This window comes from Homo sapiens, chromosome 8 (genome assembly GCF_000001405.40).
Source record: "Homo sapiens chromosome 8, GRCh38.p14 Primary Assembly".
Classification (NCBI taxonomy): Eukaryota; Metazoa; Chordata; class Mammalia; order Primates; family Hominidae; genus Homo; species Homo sapiens.
This window is the reverse complement of record NC_000008.11, coordinates 99,506,560-99,530,990: the sequence shown is the minus strand read 5'-3', so window position 1 is coordinate 99,530,990 and position 24,431 is coordinate 99,506,560. Positions and strand designations below refer to the sequence as shown.

Below are 24,431 nucleotides of genomic sequence, written 5' to 3'. Positions count from 1 at the left end.
TTCAAACTTCATGCTATAAACTGGTTATAAATAACTTGGTTAAACTACAGCTGGTACATCTTATAAGAAACTCAGATACAGGCAGCGAGATGTAGTGGTAAAGTGCATGAGCAATGGAACTGACAGTCCTGGTTCTGTCACTTATTACGTGTGGCCTAGGAGAAGCTACTGAATGTCTACAGACTGAATATTTTATTTCTAAAATACAGATAATCATAATACCTGACTCATGAGATTATTATGAGGTTCGACCGAGATGTAGGCATTGCATTGAAAGCAATGCACAGAATCTTTGACACAAAGGAAGCACTCAATAGATGTTAGCTATTACTGCTGCTGCTACTACTGCTGCTGCTACTATTTTTTTTTTTTTTTTTGAGACAGAGTCTCACTCTGTTGCCCAGGCTGGAGTGCAGTGGCATGATCTCGGCTCACTGCAACCTCCACCTCCCAGATTCAAGCGATTCTCCTGTCTCAGCCTCCCAAGTAGCTGGAATTACAGGCGCCAGCCACCATGCCTGCTAGCTTTTGTATTTTTAGTAGAAATAGGGTTTCACCATGTTGTCCAGGCTGGTCTCAAACTCCTGACCTCAGGTGATCCGCCCACCTTGGCCTCCCAAAGTGCTGGGATTACAGGCATCAGCCACCGCACTCAGCCTACTGCTGCTACTATTACTATTATTATATTATAATTGCATAAAGGTAGGTCAGCCATTGCTGTAGAAGGCCAAAGGAAGGAGACATTACTTCTAAGAAAATGATTATGAAAAATTTCAAAAAGAGAGCAAGATTTAAGTAAGATATTAAAAAATAGATGCGATTCTTAAGGATTTTTAAAAATTAAAAATAGAGTTGAACATCAAAGAAAAAACATTTTTAAAGGATACAAACCCCCATCAATGTAAAGTTCTTCGTAACAAAAACCCTGAAAGGCTAAACTGGAAGTTAGCTGTTATTTCAAGAAAGTTGAAAATGCATACATAAACAAGAGCCACAGAAAGGCGCATAATAAGCATTATTGGATTAGACAAAATATTTAACTTGAACAAGTGTCTTATGTAAAGAAGCAACTAGTGGTAATATTTAAAGTATAGGATAAGGTCAGATCAGAGAGGAAGATACATTTTGCATTAAAAGACAGGGATTTTGTCATGTTAAAAACTGAACACTATGACAGGTGTTGAGCAGAGAATTGATAAACAATGTTTAAGAGTGGTTTGTTAAAGCCCAAACACCTGTGATATTTTAATTCACACACCAGTGTTGAATTGTGAATTACTTTGCCCTTGTAATTCAAATAGTAACAAAGAACACATAAGCTATAATAATTTCAATTTCCTATTTGTGCTGATATACTTGTTCTTCAGGAATTGCCCTGGTAACTATTTCACGGAAGAAAACAACATTTTTCCCTTTTACATTTTATAATGTATAATAAAGTTTGAGGTCAGGGAAGTCTCAGTCACAATATAGTATATAAGAGTTTTTAAGTTTTAATTGAACTTTAATAGTGATGAATATTTTCTCGGTTCAAAACAGAAAGCAGTGTTTACATGAAGTTTTTTATCTTTGCTGTCTAAAACAGCTCAAAAACAGGTCAGTATGATGGCAAGTCTAAATATGATTACACTGAAAGATGACCACAATACATTATTGAGTTTAAATACAAGCAAGTTAAAGAATACTATGCAGAGTACAATTCCATTACTTAAGACAGACAGACACACACGCATACAGACAAACGGTCTGTGAGTTTTGATCTAACAGTGGCCACAGGGTAAGGAGGTGGTTACCATTCAGAATAAGCCCTGGTAAGGAGGAGTATTGCATACACTTTGGTGTTGATTTTTTAAAAATAAACACGATTATCTTTTTATTTTAAAAAATGTAAATGTCTTAGTTATATAGGTTTATTAAAATAAGGGTAGATGTATTTTCAAAAAAGGTATTTTGAAAATTTATTTATAAATTTTTAAAATGTTATTTTACCTTTTCTTATTTTAATTTCATAATCAGAAGACTAAATCATAAGCTAAATTTTTAAAGAATCAATATTTTAAAAAACAGGATATAAACAGAATTTGCAAAAAAGACCAATTAAAATGTACTGAAAAGGTAATGTATTTACTTAAATATACTCATGAATAATTAATGCTGATATTTCTATTCTCTTTATTACTTCTAAAAAGAAAAAAACTTGAATGAAATTTATGAACACTTTTCTCTATTCCTTTGTGTGAAAATTGCAAATCTAGATGGAACTTCTGGGATCATTCTTGCTTCTTACAGTAATTTTCGGAAGATAGAACAGAATGTTGTAAGGATACTTAATGATAAAAATGAGACCATGAAAAAAGTTTAGGGTGCAAGTTCAAAACTTCTAATTTCACTTATTTCATCAATCTAGGCATTTTGGGAGGTGGTGTAGACAAAGCATGCAATTATTATGATACAGAATCTATCAGAACTACAATGAAATTACAATGTAATTGTAAGATAATGTGGTTGAAGTCTTGAGTTCTGTGAAGTCATACAGTACCATATGTTCTAGTCAAAAATATATATCTACTATTGGTGTCTAGTCATCATAAGCACTCAATGTCTGTTGAATAGCTGCAAATATTAATCAATGTATATTTAATAAATGAATTAATCAATGAATGCATGCAAAGGAAGGGCATAAATGTCTCAAAGATCCCTATTGTATTAATAACTAATAAGGCTATTCTATTTCTTATAATAAAAGCTATTTTTAGAAAATCATTAAAAACCATGAAAATCAAGTCAAACTGCTTACACATAGTACTCAGAATCAGAGAAATGAGATATTCAGAAAAGACATAGGAAGTATAATATAAATCCAGTGTAATTCTTATATAGCAATTATAGCATAACATGGCTCAAGGTTCTGAGACTTGTTTTCATTATTTAATAGAAACAACCATACAAACTATAGTTAATAAGGTATAGAGGATACACCAGCATATTGCACAACATAAAGCTTCTAAGAAATATATGTCATTTATATAAGAGAAGTGTAACTATGTTTATTAACTTTTTTTTTTAAGGCTAGTCAAGTGAAGCAGTGGAATTGGAGAAGAAATGAAGAAATCTGTAACTGGTCATGATCAATTAGTTGTAAACATCACTTCACTTGGATCAGACAATTTATTAAATTATTAATATGCTTAAGCTATAAACATATTTAAATATTTTCATCTCGTTTGTTTATAATCTCTAATCAGCCTATGAAAAAACACTTTCACCACAGGTAATTTTTAAAAATCTGCCTTTATAACATCTTACTTAACTGTTTCTTGCTTCTCTTTTGGCTTGAGACAAGGACCTGAAAAATTTCTCAGGAGAAGGGGTTGTGTAAGATAAAGAAACAACTTCAGGTCAGACAGTGCTTCAGGACTATGGTATAAATCAGGGATATGGTTGAACACATCACAGAATAGGAGAATCTCAGATTGAGTTTAAAGGAAACAGAGATCATCCTATCCAGGAGCTGGCAGTTATAAACCAGGTAGATTATCAGGCAAGGAGGAGGCAAGTAAAGAAGGTAAAGGGTTAAGGGAGGGCCAATGACAATACATACCTGGGCTACGCATTGCACAGTGACTGAATAAATAACATGTTATGTATGTTCTGTTGTTTTCTACTGGATCAGATGCTTTTGAGAGTAACAAAGTACAAATTCATATAAGGTGTTAGTTAACAGAAGTGTTTTATTATTTTACATTTTCTCAGTCACAGATTCCAAAAGTTAACCACTATCAACTAAAAGTTTACAAAAATTTTGTTGCTATAAAAAGAATCCACCGAGAGCAAACTCGGATACAGAGTGGGAAAGACTGAGAATGGAGGATATTTAATGTTTCTCACAGAACCTTTCATAGTGTTTTGATTTTTAGCATTAAAAATTGTTAACATTCATTAAAAATATATTTTTTAAATGATCTCCGTTTAAAAGGTTTGTAAAAAAAATGGATTTAATCATCTCCTACAAAGGGTGTAGCCTCTGAAGTGGCATATCAGTATAACACAGTAACAGTATCACACCCAATCACCCAGAAGCCTAGAAGATATGTAAAATTTTAGGCCTCAAACAAGACCTCATAAGTCAAAATCCACATTTTATCAAGATCCTTGGGTGATTTGGAAACACAGTAAATTTAGGAATCACTGGTTTAATTTGACATAAATCATTACCCCTCTTAAGCCTTGTATGTGGCTGATTAGCCTCTGCTACATCAGAAATGGGGAGCTCATTAACTCCTGAGATAGTCAACATTTTCAAAAATAAATTCCTAATCTCCACCCACCCAATCCTCCAAAACAAATCTTCCTACGGTTTTCCTTCTTCAGTTATTTTCATCCTCCTAGTTGTTTAGGCCATATATAACTGAATTATCTTTGTATCCTTTTTCTCAAACCCCATGTGCAAATTCTCTTGGCTCTACCTCTCAAACATCTCCAGAATCTGACCACTTCTCACCACCTCCACAGCTACTAACTTTGCCCAAGCCGCCACTATCTTTTTCCAAGATTACAGCAATAGCTTTTCCCTTTCCCTTGCCTTTCCTTGCCTGAGTAATCTGCTTAAGTATAAAAAGAATCACGTCACTTCTCTGCTCAAACCCTCTGAGGCCTTTCCATTTGATGACAAAATCAACTACTCAATAAGCAAAAGAAATTCATATCATATATTCAGTTAACTCAAGTAGCAAAAATATTAATAATTCTTAACATGATTCTTTTAGGGTTGAATGTCACACTTCCATTTGTTCTTAATTGTGACTCCCTTTATTTTCAAACGTATATTTAACCTCTTTTTAAATGTATATCTCTAGTCCCTGCTGGTGATCCCCATCCCCACCCCCCCATTTCTTTCTGCAGGCAGACATTTAGTAAATAATAAAAGCATTACATATTTCAAAATTCTGCATGTGTGGATAATTCTTCCCCCACAACCATGTCTCACTCAAACTAATAGCCAAAGTCCACACAACGACCTATATGGATCTTCCATAATGTCGTTTTCCTCACAGCCTGCTAAATTCCCCTGGCACCCAATGCTCCAGCCACCACTGGCTTCTCTTACTTCTTCCTGCTTCAGGATCCCTGCACTTTCTCAGTGAGGTGTCTTCTAACTAAGCCATGCTGTCCATCTCTAACTCTCCATTTCTTTTTCCCTTCCCAGCTTTGTTGTCTCCATGTCACTTATTAAATTCTAGTATACCATATGATTTATTTATTAGCTTGTAATTCTCTCTCCCATTAGAATGTAAGTTCTGTGAGAGCAGGGATTTTTCTTTCTTTTGTAAACTGACATACACCCAGTATCTAGAATAGTGCCTGATGTACAGTAGCCTCCCTCAAAATAATTGTTAAATGAGTAAGAACAAAAAGCCCCATTTATTATTAGGCTTTTATAATTTGAAAGATTTTCATTCTATTGAGCTGCAATTAGGGTCATTGTAACATCCACTGATTTAATGATCCTAGGTCTGTTCTTAGCTTTGGAAGGAATGAACTACTCCCTATGACACATTATCAGCTACGTATTCAAAGAATAGTACCATGTGCCCTAGGAGTTTTCTGTTTTTCAAATTTAATATACACCATTATTTTAAACTTATGACAACACTGATTGCATAAACAAACAAACAGGCAAAGAGAAAATAAAAACTCTGTGCTTGAACTTTCTCCTCCTGCTTTTTAACTTTTTGTTGTTTCTATTTATATCTTATTGTACTGTCTAAGTATTATTTTTAATCAGTTCATCTTTTAGTCTCTCTACTCAATATATGAGTAGTTCACATACCACAATTATAGTATTATAATATTCTGAGTTTTTCTGTGTACTTACTATTACCAGTGAGTTCTGTACCTTCAGATAATTTCTCATTGCTCATTAATGTCTTTTTCTTTCAGATTGAAGAACTACCTTTAGCATTTCTTGTAGGACAGGTCTCATGTTGATGAAATCCTTTAGCTTTTGTTTGAGAAAACCTTCATTTCTGCTACAACATGTATGAAGGATATTCTCACTGCGTATACAATTCTAGGGTACAACTGTTTTTCCTTCAGCACTTTAAGTATGTCATGTCACTCCTGGACTGTAAGATTTCCACTGAAAAGTCTGCTGCCAGACATACTGGAGCTCAGTTGTATGGTTTTTGTTTGTTTTTGGAGATAGGGTCTCTCTCTGTCCCCCAGGCTGGAGCGTGGGGGTATAACCACAGCTCACTACAGCCTCAACCTCCTGTGCTCAAGTGATTCTTCCATCTCAGATTGCAGAACAGTGGGACTACAGGCGTGTGCCACCACACCTGACTAAGTTTTAAGTTTTTTTATAGAGACGAAGTCTCATCATGTTGCCTATGCTGGTCTCGAACTCCCGGGCTCAAGCAATCCTCCCACGTAAAGCTTTCCAAAGGGTTGGGATCCCAGGCACAAGCCACTGTACCTGGCTCCATTGTATGTTATTTGTTTCTTTTGCTTGCTTCTTTTAGGATCCTTTTTTATCCTTGACCTTTGGGAGTTTGATGATTAAATGCCTTGAGGTAGTCTTCCTTGGGTTATATCTGCTTTGTATTCTACAACCTTGTACTTGAATTGATATCTTTCTCTAGGTTTAAGAAGTTCTTTGCTATTATAACCCTTTGAATGAACTTTCTACTCCTATCACTCTCTCTGCCTGTCTTTAAGGCCAATAACTCTTAGCTATGCCCTTTTCAGGCCATTTTATAGACCTTGTAGGTGTACTTCATTCTTTCTTTTGTCTCCTCTGATTGTGTATTTTCAAATAGTCTGTCTTCAAGCTTACTAATTCTTTCTTCTGCTTGATCAATTTTGCTGTTAAGAGACTCTGATGCATTCAGTATGTTAATTGTATTTTTCAGCTCCTGAATTTCTACTTGATTCTTTTAAATGATTTCAATCTCTTCGTTAAATTTATCTGATACAATTCTGAATTCCTTCTCTATTATTTTGAATTTCTTTCAATTTCCTCAAAATGGTTATTTTGAATTCTCTGTCTGAAAGGTCACATATCTCTGTCTATCCAGGATTGGTCCCTGGTGCCTTATTTAGTTTGTTTGGTGAGCTCATGTTTTCCTCAATGGTTTTGATGCTTATGAATGTTCATCGATGTCTGGGCATTTAAGAGTTAAGTATTTACTGTAGCTTTTGTGGTCTGGGCTTGTTTGTACCCATTTTTCTAGGGAAAGAATTCCAGTTATTTGAAGAAGCTTGGGTGTTGTGATCTAAGTTTTTGGTCATTGCCGCCATATCTGCATTAGGGAGTAACCCAAGCCCAGTAACACTGTGGCTCTTGCAGACTTGTACAGGTGCCACCTTGGTAGTCTTGGATAAGATCCCGAAGAATTGTCTGAATTACCAGGCAAAGACTCTTGCTCTCTTCCCTTACTTTCTCCCAAACAAACACAGCCTGTGCTGAGCTGTCTGGAGCTGTGGAAGGGGTGTGGGTGTGTGTGTGACACAAGCACTGTGGCTGCCACCACCATTGGGACTGCGCTGGGTCAGACTTGAAGCCAGCACAGCACTGGGTCCCACCCAATGCCCGTGGTAACCACTGCCTGGCTATGGCCTGTGTTCACTCAAGGCCCTAGGGCTCAGCAATCAGCAGATAGAAAAGCCAACCAGGCTTGTGTCCTTCCCTTCAGAGTGGTGAGTTCCCCGGCTCCCAAATGCATCCAGAGATGCTGTCCAGGAGCCAGGGCCTGGAGTCAGAAACCTTAGGAATCTACTTGGTGCTCTGTTCTATTGAGGATGAGCTGGCACCCAAGCCGCAAGACAAAGTCCTTTCCCACTCTTCCCTCCCCTTTCCACAAGCAGGCCCTGGCAACCACTAATATACTTTCTGTCTCTCTGAGTTTGTCTATTCTGGACGTTTCAAATAAATGGAATCACATAATATGTGGACTTTTGCATCTAGTTCACTGAGATTTCATGGTTAACAAAATCATAGGAATAATAAAATCAGCCCTAGTATGCAGGGTCTTTTGCTTTGTGTATACATTTATTATACTGAGCTACTCCCACTCTGATCATTCACTCAAAAGTGGTTTCTAATTCTGCTGTTACTCCTTTGATATCGATGATACAGCATTTCACTGAGATCTTGATACATTTTTGATAAACTCTTATATGAATACCTTTTGTTAGTTTGTTTATGTAGAAATGACTTGAATGTGAGCTTTCAAAGAAAAATTATTAGGTTGAGTTTGCCATCCAGCATCTAGAATTTTACATTTGACATTCTAACACATATTGCTAACCTTGGTCTACAGGGTCACCCCAAGTTACCCTACATGCTTAGAATTCAAGTTGTCCTGAGCCAAAAGAGCAGAGAGCCTCACCCAAGAAGAGTTGGGCAAAAAAAAAGAATAAAAGGAAGACCCTAAGAAATACTAATAGCAAAGAGATTGTTTAAGAGGAAGACCAGTAAAGATGACTGAAAAAAAGTTGCAAGACAGACAGAAGGAAACCCTAAAAAAACAATTTCACACAATTGTTCCCAGAAAGTAAAAATACAACTCATGCAAAAGCCAGAAAGCGGAAAGGGTACAGAAGGAAAGGAATTATCTCAGTGGTTCACTTTACTGATGGTGATAGGATCTCTTAATATAACCTAGATTTCTTTCACCAAAAGTAAAGTAGGTCTCTATTTTAGGACCACTTACTTCTGAAGTAGAAAAGATAAAGACACCTGAAAGAATTTCCAAATGTTAGAAAATTAAAGTATTCTCATATAGAATTTATGTTCTATTATAATCATTTCCCTAGATCCTAAGGGAGTCAAAAGATATGAATTATAATCTTGGCTCTGTTACTCTTTCACCAGGGACAACTACAGTATTCTTTTGGTTATTCAGTTTCCTAATCTGTAAAACAGGGAAGTTGAGTTAGATAATTCCTAAAGACGCTTTCTGCTCTGAAATCCTAAGATTATATATAAGCTAGCTGCATAAAAACTTATTTAAGGGGTGAATACTATTAAATACCTAAAAAAAATACAAGGAAGAGATCATACATACATAAGTCAAAGGAAGAAATTATAACTCAAATATCAGAGAAATATGAGAAATAAAGTTCCTAGATCTATTTAAAGTAAAAATAGCCATCACCCTCTAGATGGTAAATGAATCACCAAAATTAGAATCTTTTCCTAGCAGTAACATTTACTGGAGAACAGTAGGAATTTATTTTTTAGAAGAGTGAGACTACAACATCTGAAAAACAGACCAGCAAGAAGAATAAATCACTTGTTCATCTGTATTTCTGTGACTTTTCTCACTTGGTATTATTTGCAACTGTACTTTTCTGTCTGGCAGCAGTGCCAACTTCAGTATGAATCATATATTATTTTTATCATGTTGATTACATATGTTCACCAGTTTAGTTGTCCATGTATGCTTGGTGTGGTTTGCAAATACTCAGTGACAAAATCCAGAGCATAGCATTTTCACAGAAAGTGTTTACTGTGAAATTTCTCTTTAGAAGTTTGCTTTTCTTTATAGCTTTGATCCATATGACATCCACATTCCTACATTTCAAATAATAGCTTACACTTAAATTAATAAAATGTTTCACTTTGATACAACATGACTACAGTAGGATGTGGTGGTTCTACAGAGGACCTCGTTTTCTTATGTGATTAGAGATTTGGTCAAATTTGACATCTGCTAAAATTTTCCAAACTATGCTTCTTCAGTTTTATGGTGACTTAGTACTTACATTCTGTTATTCATCAACACTTCACAGAAATACTTGATTTGTCTGAATGAATTAAAAAACCCACAACTGAAGAAAATCAGAAAAACCTGGTTTTAAATATCAAAAGATCCTGAATGAGAAATATTTCTACAGGCCACACTAAGTTATTGACCACTATATGTGTTTGCAGGATGAAAATTGTTGCAAGATTGGACATAAGAAAATAAACTTACTGGTAAATATCTTTCCTAAGGACAGATCTGCCAAGGGGATTGTCAGCCTGGGGAGCCATGGCAACAGAGCCAATCTTCAAAACCACAGTGTCTTCTTTTGCTGCCTGATTAGCTGTAACAAAAGAAGGAGATTCATGAATACACTGTGGATCTGTACATAACTTTATGCATAAGGAGAAATCTTTGAGGGAATGGAATAGAGACACATTAAGATAAGACCAATAAATAAGAAAAAGTAAAATGAAAAAAAATCATGTTTAAAATAAAAATCTTTGATGCTTTTCTTAACTCTGTTAATACCCATTAAGTGGTTTCCTGTTAAAATACACAATTAAAATAGCAAAGAAAAGAAAAACAACTCCACTCCCAACATTAAAAATTATGATATTAAATATATATAAGTAATATTGAAGCCAAATGTTTATCTAACTTCACAATCTGCATATTTCTCCTAAATGCTTTTCAGCTTTGGGTTCTTAATACTTCATTGTTGTCTACAAATATATTGAAGGATATTACAAAGTCAGTGACAAATTCTCAAAGCAATTTAAATTTACATGCTAAATAATAATTAAATACAACACACACACACACACACACACACACACACACACACACACAAAGTATATCACTTTAAGCTCCAAAATGTCAGAAAATTCAAAAGAAATATGATGGCTGCAATGTTGAAGATGGAAAACACCAACTATTCAATATGGGAGAACATATCAACCTGTTATTCTAGATACTTTTTAATTTTAATAACTTCTACTGTAAAATTGCTTTAGAAATTGGAACCCCAGACCCCTTTAAAAGTTCTACCTCCTAATGACGTCTAAAACTATGATAAATAATCCCAGAAAACAAAAAAAGGTAAAAGGATGTATCAGTTCTAATTCTCTTTTTTGTACTAAATAAAATGATATTTGACTGTATGCTCTCATTTAGGGCTGAAGTTCAGCACTTTTTCCACAACTCAACAGTGAATTCAATGTCTTTTCTAAGGACTATTTGGCATGAAAGGGGAAATTAATGGCCCCATTCATTACATTTACATTTTTTTATTATACTTTAAGTTCTAGGGTACATGTGCACAACATGCAGGTTTGTTACATATGTATACATGTGCCATGTTGATGTGCTGCACCCATTAACTTGTCATTTACATTAGGTATATCTCCTAATGCTATCCATCCACCCTCCCCCCACCCCACAACAGGCCCCGGTGTATGATGTTCCCCTTCCTGTGTCCATGTGTTCTCATTGTTCAATTCCCACCTACGAGTGAGAACATGTGGTGTTTGGTTTTTTGTCTTGCGATAGTTTGCTGAGAATGATGGTTTCCAGCTTCATCCATGTCCCTACAAAGGACGTGAACTCATCATTTTTTATGGCTGCATAGTCTTCCATGGTATATATGTGTCACATTTTCTTAATCCAGTCTATCAATGATGGACATTTGGGTTGGTTCCAAGTCTTTGCTATTGTGAATAGTGCCGCAACAAACATACATGTGCATGTGTCTTTATAGCAGCATAATTTATAATCCTTTGGGTACATCCCCAGTAATGGGACGGCTGGGTCAAATGGTATTTCTAGTTCTAGATCCCTGAGGAATTGCCACACTGACTTCCACAATGGTAGAACTAGTTTACAGTCCCGCCAACAGTGTAAAAGTGTTCCTATTTCTCCACATCCTCTCCAGCACCTGTTGTTTCCTGACTTTTTAATGATCACCATTCTAACTGGTGTGAGATGGTATCTCATTGCAGTTTTGATTTGCATTTCTCTGATGGCCAGTGATGAAGAACTCAAACAAATTTACAAGAAAAAAACAACCCCATCAAAAAGTGGGTGAAGGATATGAACAGACACTTCTCAAAAGAAGACATTTATGCAGCCAACAGACACATGAAAAAAATACATTTACATTTTACTCTCTATTCTCCAACAGATGATTCTACTATAGTAGCTGTATAAACCCTGTTTAAAAAATGTTAACAATATACAACTTTCTAGGTCTTAAAATAAACGTATATTAAAACTTATAATTTCTCTCAAGGAACTACCATCTGCCAAAAATAGAACAGAAAATGACTGGCTGCAAGACCTAAGAAATATCCTGAACAGAACCTGCCTACAAAGGCATACAATCCATATTTCCCAAACTGTGGTGCCCAAAGAATGCAAAAGCTACGAGATTATTTCCAGCTGTATTTCCAGTATATTATTTCAGTGTATTGTTTTCAGTATATTCAGTATATTTCAGTATATTTTCACATACTTGGTATGGTCTAATTCAGATTAGTCCAAGGAAAGAACGTCAGAATTAAGAAAATCAGAAAAACATAAGAAGAATAAGATATTCAGTGAGAGAAATAAGGAACCAGAATAAGATAACCATGAAGGGAGGAGGGAAAGGCAAAATAGTAGGAAGGTGGGAGAAGGGACAGCAAAAGGAGAAAAAAAGAGATGAACTATCATAACAAATATTAGCATACGGATGTCACAGTAAAGACAGTATTTTTACATCCATAGCAAAAGATCAAATAGAAAACTACTTCTCATGCAGCTGCACTATTTTCAAATGACTTAGAGGTTTGGTTTGATTATGGGTCCTTATAATATGAACATTGTTTACATTTTACAGGTCTTGCATTTTATGCCAACCTTATCAAATAGTTCCATGTGGGTAAAACCTCTGATTAAGCAGCAGTCCTCAATTACGTAGTAAGCCTGGAGAATAAACCGTACCACAAAGGTGCAATTAGTATATTTGCTAACTGTTCTTCCAGGCTACAGATACTACTCACCATATGAAAGTCTGAAATGTAATAGAAACATTGCAGTAAATGAGGTAAATATGGAGGAGAAATGACGTACTTGGTGTTACATACAAAGCCAGATCCAAGAACAGAATTCTGTTTCTGTTAGGGCCAAAAGTGTTCTCAGTAGATTATACTGACTATGAAGTTATAATTAAAAAAAAGAGCACTTAATGCAGATCATTCATAAACTAGATTAAAATAATTAATTTTATTATAGAAAGTATTCAACTTATCAAAATATATCACCGAGATGTAAAAAAAAATAATAAAAATATGTATTTATACATGAAAGTGCCTTGAGTCATTTCTTCAGTTACTTTATCACCGCAAAAAAAAATCAGCTTCTCTTTTTTGGGTTATTTCACCTGTATTTAATAGTTGGACCATATGAGGAAATGTTCCTTCTAGAAATATTTTCAACATGAAAATGAATGCCTTCCTTCCTTGCTTTAACTCTATTTTTTAAAATTGAGCCTCATGAGGAACTACTCATTCTAGACATGCTAGATTTTTAAAAGTCATCTATTGTGAAATAAAAAGATTAAGCTGGAAGTCAAAGACTTGTAGATTTAGAATCCTGATAGTAACTGCACATAATGTAAATAATATCCAGGTTGAAAAGCAGACTTTCAATATCATTTTTCTAAATAAAATAGTAGAATGTTCAATTTTTTTATCATTAACTGAAATTTAGATATGATTAAAGAGTCTTACATTAATGTAGCGTATATTATAAGCCTGAAAGATTTCATCTTTTCTTGGGGCAAGAGAGTGTGTATACGTGTGTGTACAGATGCATGAATGTACATTTGTGTATGGCATATGAAAAGGCTATAAACAACTCTGAAATCAGGAGTTTGTATCAGTAACCAATAGCTTGAATAAAGACCAGAATTTTCATGCAACTGTCAGATAATATAAGAATGTTGCTTACAACAAACTTTTCTTAATTCCAACCTGAATAAAAGTGTTTTGGAGACTTCAACTTTCCTTTAAGATTCTCAAAATAAACTCAATTTAGTAAAACATCTGAAGTCTCAAGAGTATTTGAAGTTGCCACTGTTTAATGTTATGCTTTCATAAAGCCAAAACTGTTGTGACAGCTTTCAACAAAAGTTTTTAATCAGTTATTGCCATACTGGCAGTTGAAGACAAACGTTTCAATAAACATATAATCAATGACCATTATGCATATTAATAGAAAGTTTAGTTGCATTTGGTTTACCACTCATCTTTGACACAGATTACTTACTCTGTGACAAGCACAGATTGCTCTGTGATATTTTTATAATAAAGTTTCTGCTGAAAAGTATGATGTAGCAAGATTTAGTTATTCTTTCACACTTATTAAAACAACTTACATATACTTTTTTTTTTTTTTTTTTTTTTTTTTTTTTTGAGACACGGTCTCCTCCTGTCACCCAGGCTGGAGTTTGGTGGTGTGACCACAACTCACTGAAGCCCTGACCTCCTGGACTCAATTAATTCTCCCACCTCAGCCTCCTGAGTAGCTGGGACTACAAGCCCGGGCCACCATGCCCAGAAAATTTGTGTATTTTTTGTAGGATGGGGTTTCGCCATGTAGCCCAGGCTAGTCTCAAACTCCTAGGCTCAAGCTATATGCCTGCTTTGGCCTCCCAAAGTGCTGGTATTACAGGCATGAGCCACCATGCCTGGCCTACATTTTTAATTTAATTAATCTGATAATCATCTTATTCAAACTTTCTTGTAAAGGCTTTCTAAAATAAAATGAATAGTATACTCTTGACTCCAACTTACTAGAGTCATTAATGACATTTATTTCTAATGAAATTGCTCCTTCAATCATGATTTCCACAGTCCACATTATAGCTTTTAACATGTATTAAATGGACACATCCAATCTCCCATATAAAATATAATGTAAGAATTATCTACACTTTAAAATGGTGAATTTGTTATATGAATTTTACCTCAATAAAAATTTGTTTTCTGACCTTTTCATGGGTGAATTATGATTATTTAAATTAAGAGTAGCAAAGAAGAAAGATAAAGTATAAAAAATACTAACATAATGTGTCAAAATCTGAAACTTTGGCATGCATTTTTGTATTTGCATTCTTAGCTTAGGCACACAGTCTGGCTATTTATAACACCTCAGATAGAGATGCAAGTACAATTATAAGTAAAGATACAGATACATGCACAGATACAGAGATGCAAAGGCTGAACACAAAAAAGTAAAGATATGAGCAATACATATGCCAGACAGAAGGATTAATACACAAAAAATGTATTAATTAATAAGGAAAAGATAAGCAACTCCTTAAAAAGTAGCGTACTTTTCACTAATGAGACCTTTGTACAAAAGGCTAAAAATAAACTTCTGTTAGGGTAAGAGTAAGAAATAGCAGCCATTTAGGAAGGCAATTAGACATCGCTTACTATTTTAAAGGTATGGAATCCTTTGACCTAGCAATCCTTTTGCTGGTAATTTATTCTACAGATACATACATCCAAGCCACAAAAAAAAACACCACTAAAAAGTTGTTTGTTGCTAAAAATATGCATATTTGCAAAGGATTCCACTTAAAGTCCACAGAAAAACAAAAGAAATTATGTTTTCCAAAGACAACTATAAAAACCTTCCCCAATCTCACATACTCTTATTCAAGGTGACCTTAGGAAGTACCTAGGCACCTGAATTCTGAAATTATATGTTAAAAACCCACCACAGCCACCACCAAAAAAAGAAGAAAAAGCAGCAGCAGCAGCAGCAGGAGGAGGAGGAGGAGGAGGAGGAGGAAGCAGAAGCAGCAGCAGCAGCAGCAGCAGCAGCAGCAGCTTTAAAAATAAGATGGCAGAAGTCTGGAAATATTTCTGCAATTACAATTAGTTGAGGGATTTTCCTAGTTGAAGCAACTCAATGGGAAACAATAAAACTGTGTGATATGTAGTATTAATGTTTATAACACAATAAGCCCAAAACAAAAACATATAAACAAACTAAAAAAGCCCCACAGAAAATAAAGTTGTTCTTTTTTTTCCTCTTCTTTCTTAAATAGCCTGATTTGTAATCTTTTTGTCACAAACATATCAGTGAAACATAACTTGTTTCAATAAACCATTGGTAAGTATCACAGAAAATAAAGCTAGAGTTAAACAATGAACTTCAGACCTCTGCCTCACCACAGAGCTGCTCAGGTGCTCGGCACACAGGTGCTGCTATGCTAAGCGTGAGCTCCCTTTGCTCTTCTTGTTGACTGAACTATGCCTGCACATTGGCATTGTTCAGAAAATACCACAAATCGTGCTCTAATCCACAAGGGCTTCCAAGAAGTTTGGTGGTTCCTCAAAAACAGAATTCCAAACAGAATTACCACGGGACCTAAAAATTCCACTCTTAGGTGTACACCCCAAAAAAACTGAAAACAGGGCCTCTAACAGAAACTTCCATGCCAGTGTTCATAGCAGCATTACTCACATTAAACCAAAAAAGGGTGGAAATGACCCAACTGCCCAACAGATTAATTAATAAACAAAATGTGGTATATCCATACAAAACAATATTATTCAGCTATAGCAAGGAATGAAGTTCTGATACATGCAGCAACTTGGATGAGCCTTGAAAACATTATGCTAAGTAAAGTAAGACAGACACAAAAGGATAAACATTGTATGATTCCACTTACATGAAATTTCTAGAGTAGTAAAATTCATACAGACAGAAAATAGATTAGAGGTTACCAGAAGATGAAGGTAGCTATTACTTAATGGCTACAGAGCTTTTGTTTGGGGTGACAAATACATTTGGAAATAGTGGTGATGGTTGCACAACATTATGAATGTAATTATTGCCACTGAATTATATACTTAAAATGATTAAAGTAGAAAATTTGTTATATATATTTTACCACAATAAAAAAGAGAAAAAACAAGGTTTCCAAATTAACAATGAAAACTATTTACATTTATAGGCAAATTTTGCCTTAGAAGGAAACATTTATCACTATAAATAAGACCTATCCAGTGAAGAACACCTAAGGGCTATGACGAACACTGACATGGATGGTGAAAACAAGTCAGTCATGTAGGTTTCTCTCACAGGTATTGCCACAAAAATTTGAGTCAAAGAAGCTCTGCAATGAAGATCTAATTGCAATGAAAAAGCAATTTATTGTGAAAATATTCCTCACTAACAAATACCAAAGACTTTCAGAAGCTTTCAGGACATCAGATAGATAAGATATTTTAAGACAAATGAGCAAATTTTGAATACAGATCAAATGCCCACATTGAGGAGCCGCTATGTCTGACTCAGAAAGATTTACCAGTGTATACATTATTAGATACCCATTTTAAAAGTCTCAGCCTGGCTGCCAAAGATGCAGAAAAAAACAACACACTGATATTGTATCATATTCTTGGTCAAGTTTTAAAACTTAATAAATAGGCAATGAATCATACACATTTGGTTCGTCTTCTAAAATTTAAATTTGTTACTGAAATTGATATTTTGTGGTGTGAAATGGGTTTTCAAGAAGGAAACCCTAAATTAAAACAGTGTAGGGAATAATATGTGATAAATGACTAAATTTAGTGTCCATTATACAATTATTATTCAGACACAATTACATCATAAAATTTGAGAATCATTTATAAATCGTCAACATTTCTTTATTAGTAAAAAAGTCTACCAATTAGATAAGTTGCTTTACTTCCTTTTCTGTCTCTATAGCCTCTCACTATTTCCTCAGCTTTTTTCATAGAGATTCTCCCTGTATTTTTCTATACCTCATCCCACCCTCTCACCTCTAATATCACATTTTTTCTTATGTTTCAATGAAATTTTGGCCTTCCTAATTGTTTGCATTAAACTGAAAATAATTTTACAATTAAGGAATGGGGAACATAAAACAAACACTTCAGGAAATATTCAGGAAATCATAAAAGCCTACTAACATATTTTAAATGAAATACAGGAACTCAAGTTAGAAAAATGAATGTTTTATAACAATCAGAGAGGTATTTGTGGAAAACAATATCCTTGTATAAAAACTATACCTAGAATTTTTTATATTATATAGTATAAAACTTTATTCTTATTTTTATCTAGATATAAAACTTCTGTAATTTTATTTTAATAAAATAGTTACAGATACTGCAACATTATGGTTTTTTTTTTTTTTTTCCCACTTGAGATGGCGTCTTGCTCTGTCACCCAAGCTGGAGTGCAATGGCACTATCTTGGCTCACTGCAACCTACACCTCCTGGGTTCAAGCAATTATCCCACCTCAGCCTCCCAAGTAGCTGGGATTACAGGCACGTGCCACCACGCCTGGCTAATTTTTTGTATTTTTAGTAGAGCTGGGGTTTCACCATGTTGGCCAGGCTGGTCTCAAACTCCTGACCTCATGATCTGCCCGACTCGGCCTCCCAAAGTGTTGGGATTACAGGCGTGAGCCACCGTGCCCAGCCCATGGTCTTTATTAAATGTAATGACCTACCCCAAATTCTTCTCCCAAAACACTGATAAATTTTGTGTAATAAAGACAATCTACTTTTGTTTCCATGGTGTTTTCCTCCCATTCTCAGTTGTAATGCCAAAAACAGTTTGACAATCTCCCCAATCTTTTATGTCTGTGTCTCTTCCAAGGTTGTGGAAAAATGTTATTATAACTGAAACTACAGTCCTCAGGGAATTATCTGTATAAAAACGTAGATTTCTGTTTTCTAACCTATGTAAACTTAATGTAAATTACATTCTCTAAAATTTCATTAGGTGCTCCTATATAATAAGGAAAAAGCATAAAGGTCATTACCTTTGCAATGAATATACTGCTTCTTACTTTTCTGGTTAGCGAGTTGTTTATCACTTGTAATTGGTAAATAAAGACTAACTCTTTATTCTTAACCATTCATGTGTTTCTACAAACTATCTGAACAGATGAAAGCAACTGTATACCACTGTCAGAATATAGGATATTCAGAGAATAGTAATTTCACATCTCAAAGTAATTAATTTTAAGATAGCTTCTAAGAAAAGTTAGACATAAAAAGTAGAAACTGGCTTGTATTAAGAATCTGTTAAGTATAATACATTGAATTTAGTTCTAGCTTGGTAATTAAGCACTATAAGGTTCGTATACAAATATTTTATTACAAAAATGATATGCTAAGAAGCTGGGGCTACAGGTGTGCACCACCATGTTGGGCTAATATCTTATTTCTGTACAGATGGGGTCTCACTATGTTGCCCAGGCTGGTCTGAAACTCCTGGGCTCCAGTGGTCCTCCTATCTTGGCTTCCCAAAGTGTTAGGATTACAGATGTGAGCCACTGTGCTTGACCTTGTTTTTAAAAAAAATTTTAGTTCTCTTAGATACACAGAACACAACATTTGAGTTTAGTAAAACAATTAACACAAAGTATATATATGCTTTACTGGCAAAAGCCCTGAAGAAAAAATTTCCTCAATTTCTTATCCTACTAACGAAGTCAGATAGTTACATAGTATTCTGATGTATTTCCTAATGATTTGTAGAATATCTATATTTCCTCTCTATAAAATATACCAAACCACAAAGCACAACCAACTGCTCATATTTTTTAAAAGAAACAAAAAAACCCAGAAAACTAAGGTCTCTAGAAGAAAATTATTTAAAATCAGACAAAAAAAATCAGAAGACAATACCTTCAACAGTTGGCTGCATTTCTTCTGTTTTTGGAATAAAAATTCTGATTACACTTGTGTTGACATAAATCAAAGGTAAATTGCGGGATGTCAGTGTATGGGTCCTCATGGGCTGACCAGGAGATTTTCTTTTCTCTTTTTGGGTCTTTGGTAGTTTTGCTTGAAATATACTTGCAATGGCATTAAGTAAAGGAAAATAAAGAACAATATCAAAAGCTTGTGCTGAAAGAAGAATTTCATGAAGAAAATGAGGAGAACCATCCATTAGGCCTTCAGATAACTTATGAAAACTTCTTCGCTCATTTCTTGATGTTAACTTGTGGCGGACATTTTTTGTTACAGCTTTTGTGTATGTCAGAGAGAGGAATCCATGCTGCTGATGAGTGCCATCTAGAAGTTTTGTAGTTGTCTGTTCCAAAAAAAGGAAATCACAATACACAGTTCATTAAAAAGATTTTTTTTAAAAATTGGAAAGAAGAAAATGACCTCAGTGAGTATTTTTACCTCTTGGTCTTACCCTACACTTCTTAATAAACACATGACTGATCAATTCTGCAGATGTGGGCAAAAAGCTTCTAAGATGGTTAGAATGACTGAACTAAAGATGGGAATCCTGAGTTCCAGTTCTAGATCTTGAGGGAGGTTATTAATCTTTTTGTGGCTATTTCTGTGACTTCTGCATTTTCTGTAACATTAAGAATTTGAGGCTGGGGTAGCTCATGCCTGTAATCCCAACACTTTGGGAGGCTAAGGTGGGCAGATAACTTGAGGCCAGGAGTTTGAGACCAGCCTGGCCAACATGGTGAAATCCCGTCTCTACTCAAAATACAAAAAATTAGCCAGATGTGGTGGCATGGTAGTACATGCCTATAATCCCAGTTGCTTGGGAGGCTGAGGCACAAGAATCGCTTCAACCCGGGAGGCAGAGGCTGCAGTGAGCCGAGATTGAGCCACGGCTCTCCAACCTGGGCAACAAAGTGAGGCTCTGTCTCAAACAAAAAAACATAGGTTGGAAAAGACTATCTTGATTTTATCTTTTCATTTCGTGATAATTTTTCATTATGAGTACTAAGAGGCTGTCATAAAAAGTATCACAGGTCACAGAAGGGTTGTTTACTCAGGTGAAATTGAAATAACCACATTACATATTTTTATTTGAGACCAAATCTGAATAGGCCAGATGATTACCTTCACTAGATAGGATATAACATTTGTGAAAATGGAGTTTTTCCTTCAATAATTTGGCTAATTTATACAAAGACAGAGCCTACAAAAGAAGCCTCATCGATACCATGCTTTGATAACTGAACTAAATAAACAGTTACTGCATATTTAAACAGTAATGTGATGTAACAATATAACATTTGTCTTTCAGAACTTGCCTATTATCAATAGCTAACGCATTTTTTATAAAATCTAATTATCACTATCCTGTAAATCATAATCTTTGGGTATACTACTATATTAGTACACATATAACATTTAACAGAGTAAAAAAATTATCATAACTTCAATATTTTTGTTAAAACTATCTCAATTAGCTCTCCTATCCAAATTGCACACTATAAACAAGTTAGAGTAAAACAGCATGCTTTTAAAAGAGTAAAGTAAAACATATACTTTTGTATTCCTCAACGTACAAAAAGAATGTCACTTGAAAAAAATCTTCCTCAACCAATTAATAGACATAAAATATTGTTTTGGAAATTGCTCAGCATAGAATTAGAGGAGAACTGTTATATTCCACATTCCCTGCCCCTCTTTCCAACACCTGAAAAAGTTAGTAGGGTCCAAAGAGGAGATTTTTAAGAGGAGAAGTGAACTGGAACAAAGCAAAAAGAAGAAAATATATTCACATAAACAGAAAAAAAAGAGAAATAGGAAAGCAGTAATGAGTCTGAGCTATATTATCCCATCACTCCTACATTTCAATTGCTTCCATTTTCTTCCTCTCATTTTGTTGCCTATCACCCACTGACATGGTGAGAGGAAAAAATATGCAATTCAGTTATCACTGCTAATTTTGCTTTTAATTTAGACTTTATAATGAAGGAAGATAAGAAAATAAATTATTTTTGTATTTTTTAATTGACCATTAAAAAAACCCTGGAAAGTAAGCATTAAATGGTTGTGCAGTATAATCATCTTTCCCAATAATAGCCTGCTCTCAAAGCATTTTTCACTGTTCCCAACATTTTCACTGTTTCTCTTTTGATTCCCCTTCTTTTTTATTTCTGCACTCAAAAACAAAAAGATGTATAGTAAAGCAAGAAAAGTGCTACCAGTTTTATTAGCATGTTGCTGGACAATGAGCAATAACAGATGGAGAAGGATTGTTAAGGTATACCCCCAGTGGAAGAGGCCACAGTGATCACAGTGATGTTGTCTGTTCTAAGTGTCTAAACTGGGGAGAGGGTTACTACTGACCACTAATCTAAAAAAATCTAACTCATAATAAATCTTTATTAATAGCAACATTTGAATCCTGTAAAGAGTATAAAAGGTATTTCAATGTATAAATGTTTTAATTTGGAAAAATATTTTAAACGTGGAATGTAAGCATACTTGAAAGGTAAGCCACATGAAGAAAGGGTGTTTTTTTTTTAATTGCTGCATCCTTAACTCCCTTAACATAAGGCAAAAAGTGAATACTAGTTGAGGTAATATAAATATCATTTTTTCATACAGTAATAATACTTTATACTATTTAAAATAAAATGTTAAAAAACACTAAGTAAAGAAACTTTTTAAATGGCATTTAATTTATAAATTTAGAAAAAATTTCTGAAGAACATTAACGATAAATTTACGGTTTCTTTATGAATATTTGTTAAAATTATTAAGAATGTTTTTCACAGACACTAATGAACATTCAAAGAGAGGAAAATAAATCTAAACACTTCCTCCAACACAAAAGTCACATTTTTTTCCTGCACTAAAGATTAAAGACTATTGCTAGTAAAAGCTCAAAATAAAATCAGAACATAACACTTGCTATGCAAATACACTATTAAAAATTAAATTTAAGAACAAAGTTAACTTTAAGAATATCAGTTAAAAGAATTAGCTTAAGAACATATCCAGATGTTGTACCATTAAAAAAGTCAAGGTTCTAAACGTCTAAAAGTCACTGATACAGCCTTGTGTTCATCTACCTAATCAATGACAGAAATGCAAACTTGTTCAGATTCAAGAAGGTACCACACAAGTTACTTTGAATTAGTTGTAAGAAAACAATGGCATAATAATAGAAAAAAAATTTTTAAAGGCAATCTTATTAAGAATCGTAAGAGGAATGACAAAAGCAGTATTGGTCAACTCTTGATCATTCAATACATGCACAATTTAAAAAAATATAATGAATGTCCTACTTTGATTTCCTTATATTGAGGTAAAATTAGTCTGTACTCATGCAAGTGACCCAGAAACAGGTTTTAGTGGAAAAGCAGTTTTATGATTTTAAATTACATTATACTTCATTTATAAAGTTTATGATATGGAGGAAAACACAAATCAAGAGTTGACTCTATGAATCATTCAATTCCTTCTCTGGGTTCCTGTTAATGGGAGTTGTGTAGCATAATTTAAAGTAATTTCTTACAGAAGGAAAGAAGCCAGAGCAATTACTGAAAGGGTCCTGCTTGCTGATGGGTCGAACCAACAAGGTGCGTCTGTTCAGCTTGTCAGTACAGGAAAGGAAGACACCTCCACATTGCCCCAAAGACCAACACTCTTCCCCAAGGCTTGAAGTGATGGACAGGAGCAAAGAAGGTGAAAAGACAAAAAGCAATAAAAGCCATAAGCAAAAAAATATCTGGATAGTTTTAAATTCTCCTCAAGTTTGTATAAATTTAGGTTTGAGCAACCGCTAGGTATGGCCTCTGCCTGGACCATCTTCTGCAAAAGCAATGTTAATGAAAGTAAACAAAAAATAATTGCTTTTAGTATAAAATTACTACTTCCAGTTTATGGTAAAGAACAATCCAGCATAAACTCACATAAGAATTGGGAAACAATTCCAAAAAGTCAACACAATAGTACATTAAAGATAAAGTATATTAACAAAAGCAAGCCTACCTTTGCCTCTTTGATAAATTTACTTAATTGTTATAACAGGAAGATGGTTACAAAACAGGAGCAGTTTCAAAGAATAAATAGCTTTAAATTTATATGTAATTTTGAAGAAACAGGCTAATAAGAATTTATTCTGAACTCAAATTCTTGTAACCATTAGTCCTATTTTATGAAATAACAAGATAAACAGTTTAAAGTACATTTTCAAAAATCATAGTAACTAAATGGGTCTCACCACAGATTTTTCTTTGCATTGTAGAAATACTCCTTCAAAATGTCCTGACTGCCAACCTTCCCCTGGCCTGGAAAACATAAGTTCACCTTATCTGTTCTCTTCAATTTTTCTGAGTTAAGAAATTGAACATACATAACTATTTCAAATAAGTCTAAAGTTCACAACACTGCACTGAACTAAAACATAAATCTGACAATGCAATCAATAGAACAATTTACATTAGCACCGCACTCTGACAGTTCTGCATAAGAACATTTGTCTTCATGGTAAATTATGTATTTATTTGGCTGATTATTTACTTCCATCTCCTCGATAAGAGTAACATCTATGTCTATTTTTCTTTTTTAAAGATAGAGCCTTGCTCTGTCGCCCAGGCTGGAGTGCAATGGCACAATCATAGCTCACTGTAACCTTGAACTCCTGGGCTCAAGCAATCCACCCACCTTAGCCTCCCCAGCAGCTGGAACTACAGGCATACACCACCATGCCCAGCTCCTTTTTGTGTGTATGTGGTGATGGGGTCTTGCCATCTTGTCCCAGCTGGTCTCAAACTCCTGGGCTCAAGTAATCCCCCTGCCTTGGCCTCCCAAAGTGCTGGGATCACAGGTGTGAGCCACCATGCCAGGCTATTTTTCTTAAACACT

At 34.6% G+C, this 24,431-nt stretch overlaps 1 protein-coding gene across 2 annotated transcripts in view; it reads right to left on the bottom strand.

The window, feature by feature from the left end:
- VPS13B (vacuolar protein sorting 13 homolog B) overlaps positions 1 to 24,431 on the bottom strand; it is an 864,307-nt gene that overhangs the window by 346,590 nt on the left and 493,286 nt on the right. The window contains exons 28-30 of one of the 2 annotated variants that reach the window (NM_152564.5): positions 23,788 to 23,854; positions 19,479 to 19,887; positions 9,981 to 10,092 (exon numbers count right to left, since the gene is read on the bottom strand). In NM_152564.5, the coding sequence (NP_689777.3) occupies positions 9,981 to 10,092; positions 19,479 to 19,887; positions 23,788 to 23,854 (588 nt within the window). Of the gene's footprint in view, positions 1 to 9,980; positions 10,093 to 19,478; positions 19,888 to 23,079; positions 23,222 to 23,787; positions 23,855 to 24,431 lie in introns of both variants that reach the window. The other variant, NM_017890.5, reaches the window with a different exon arrangement.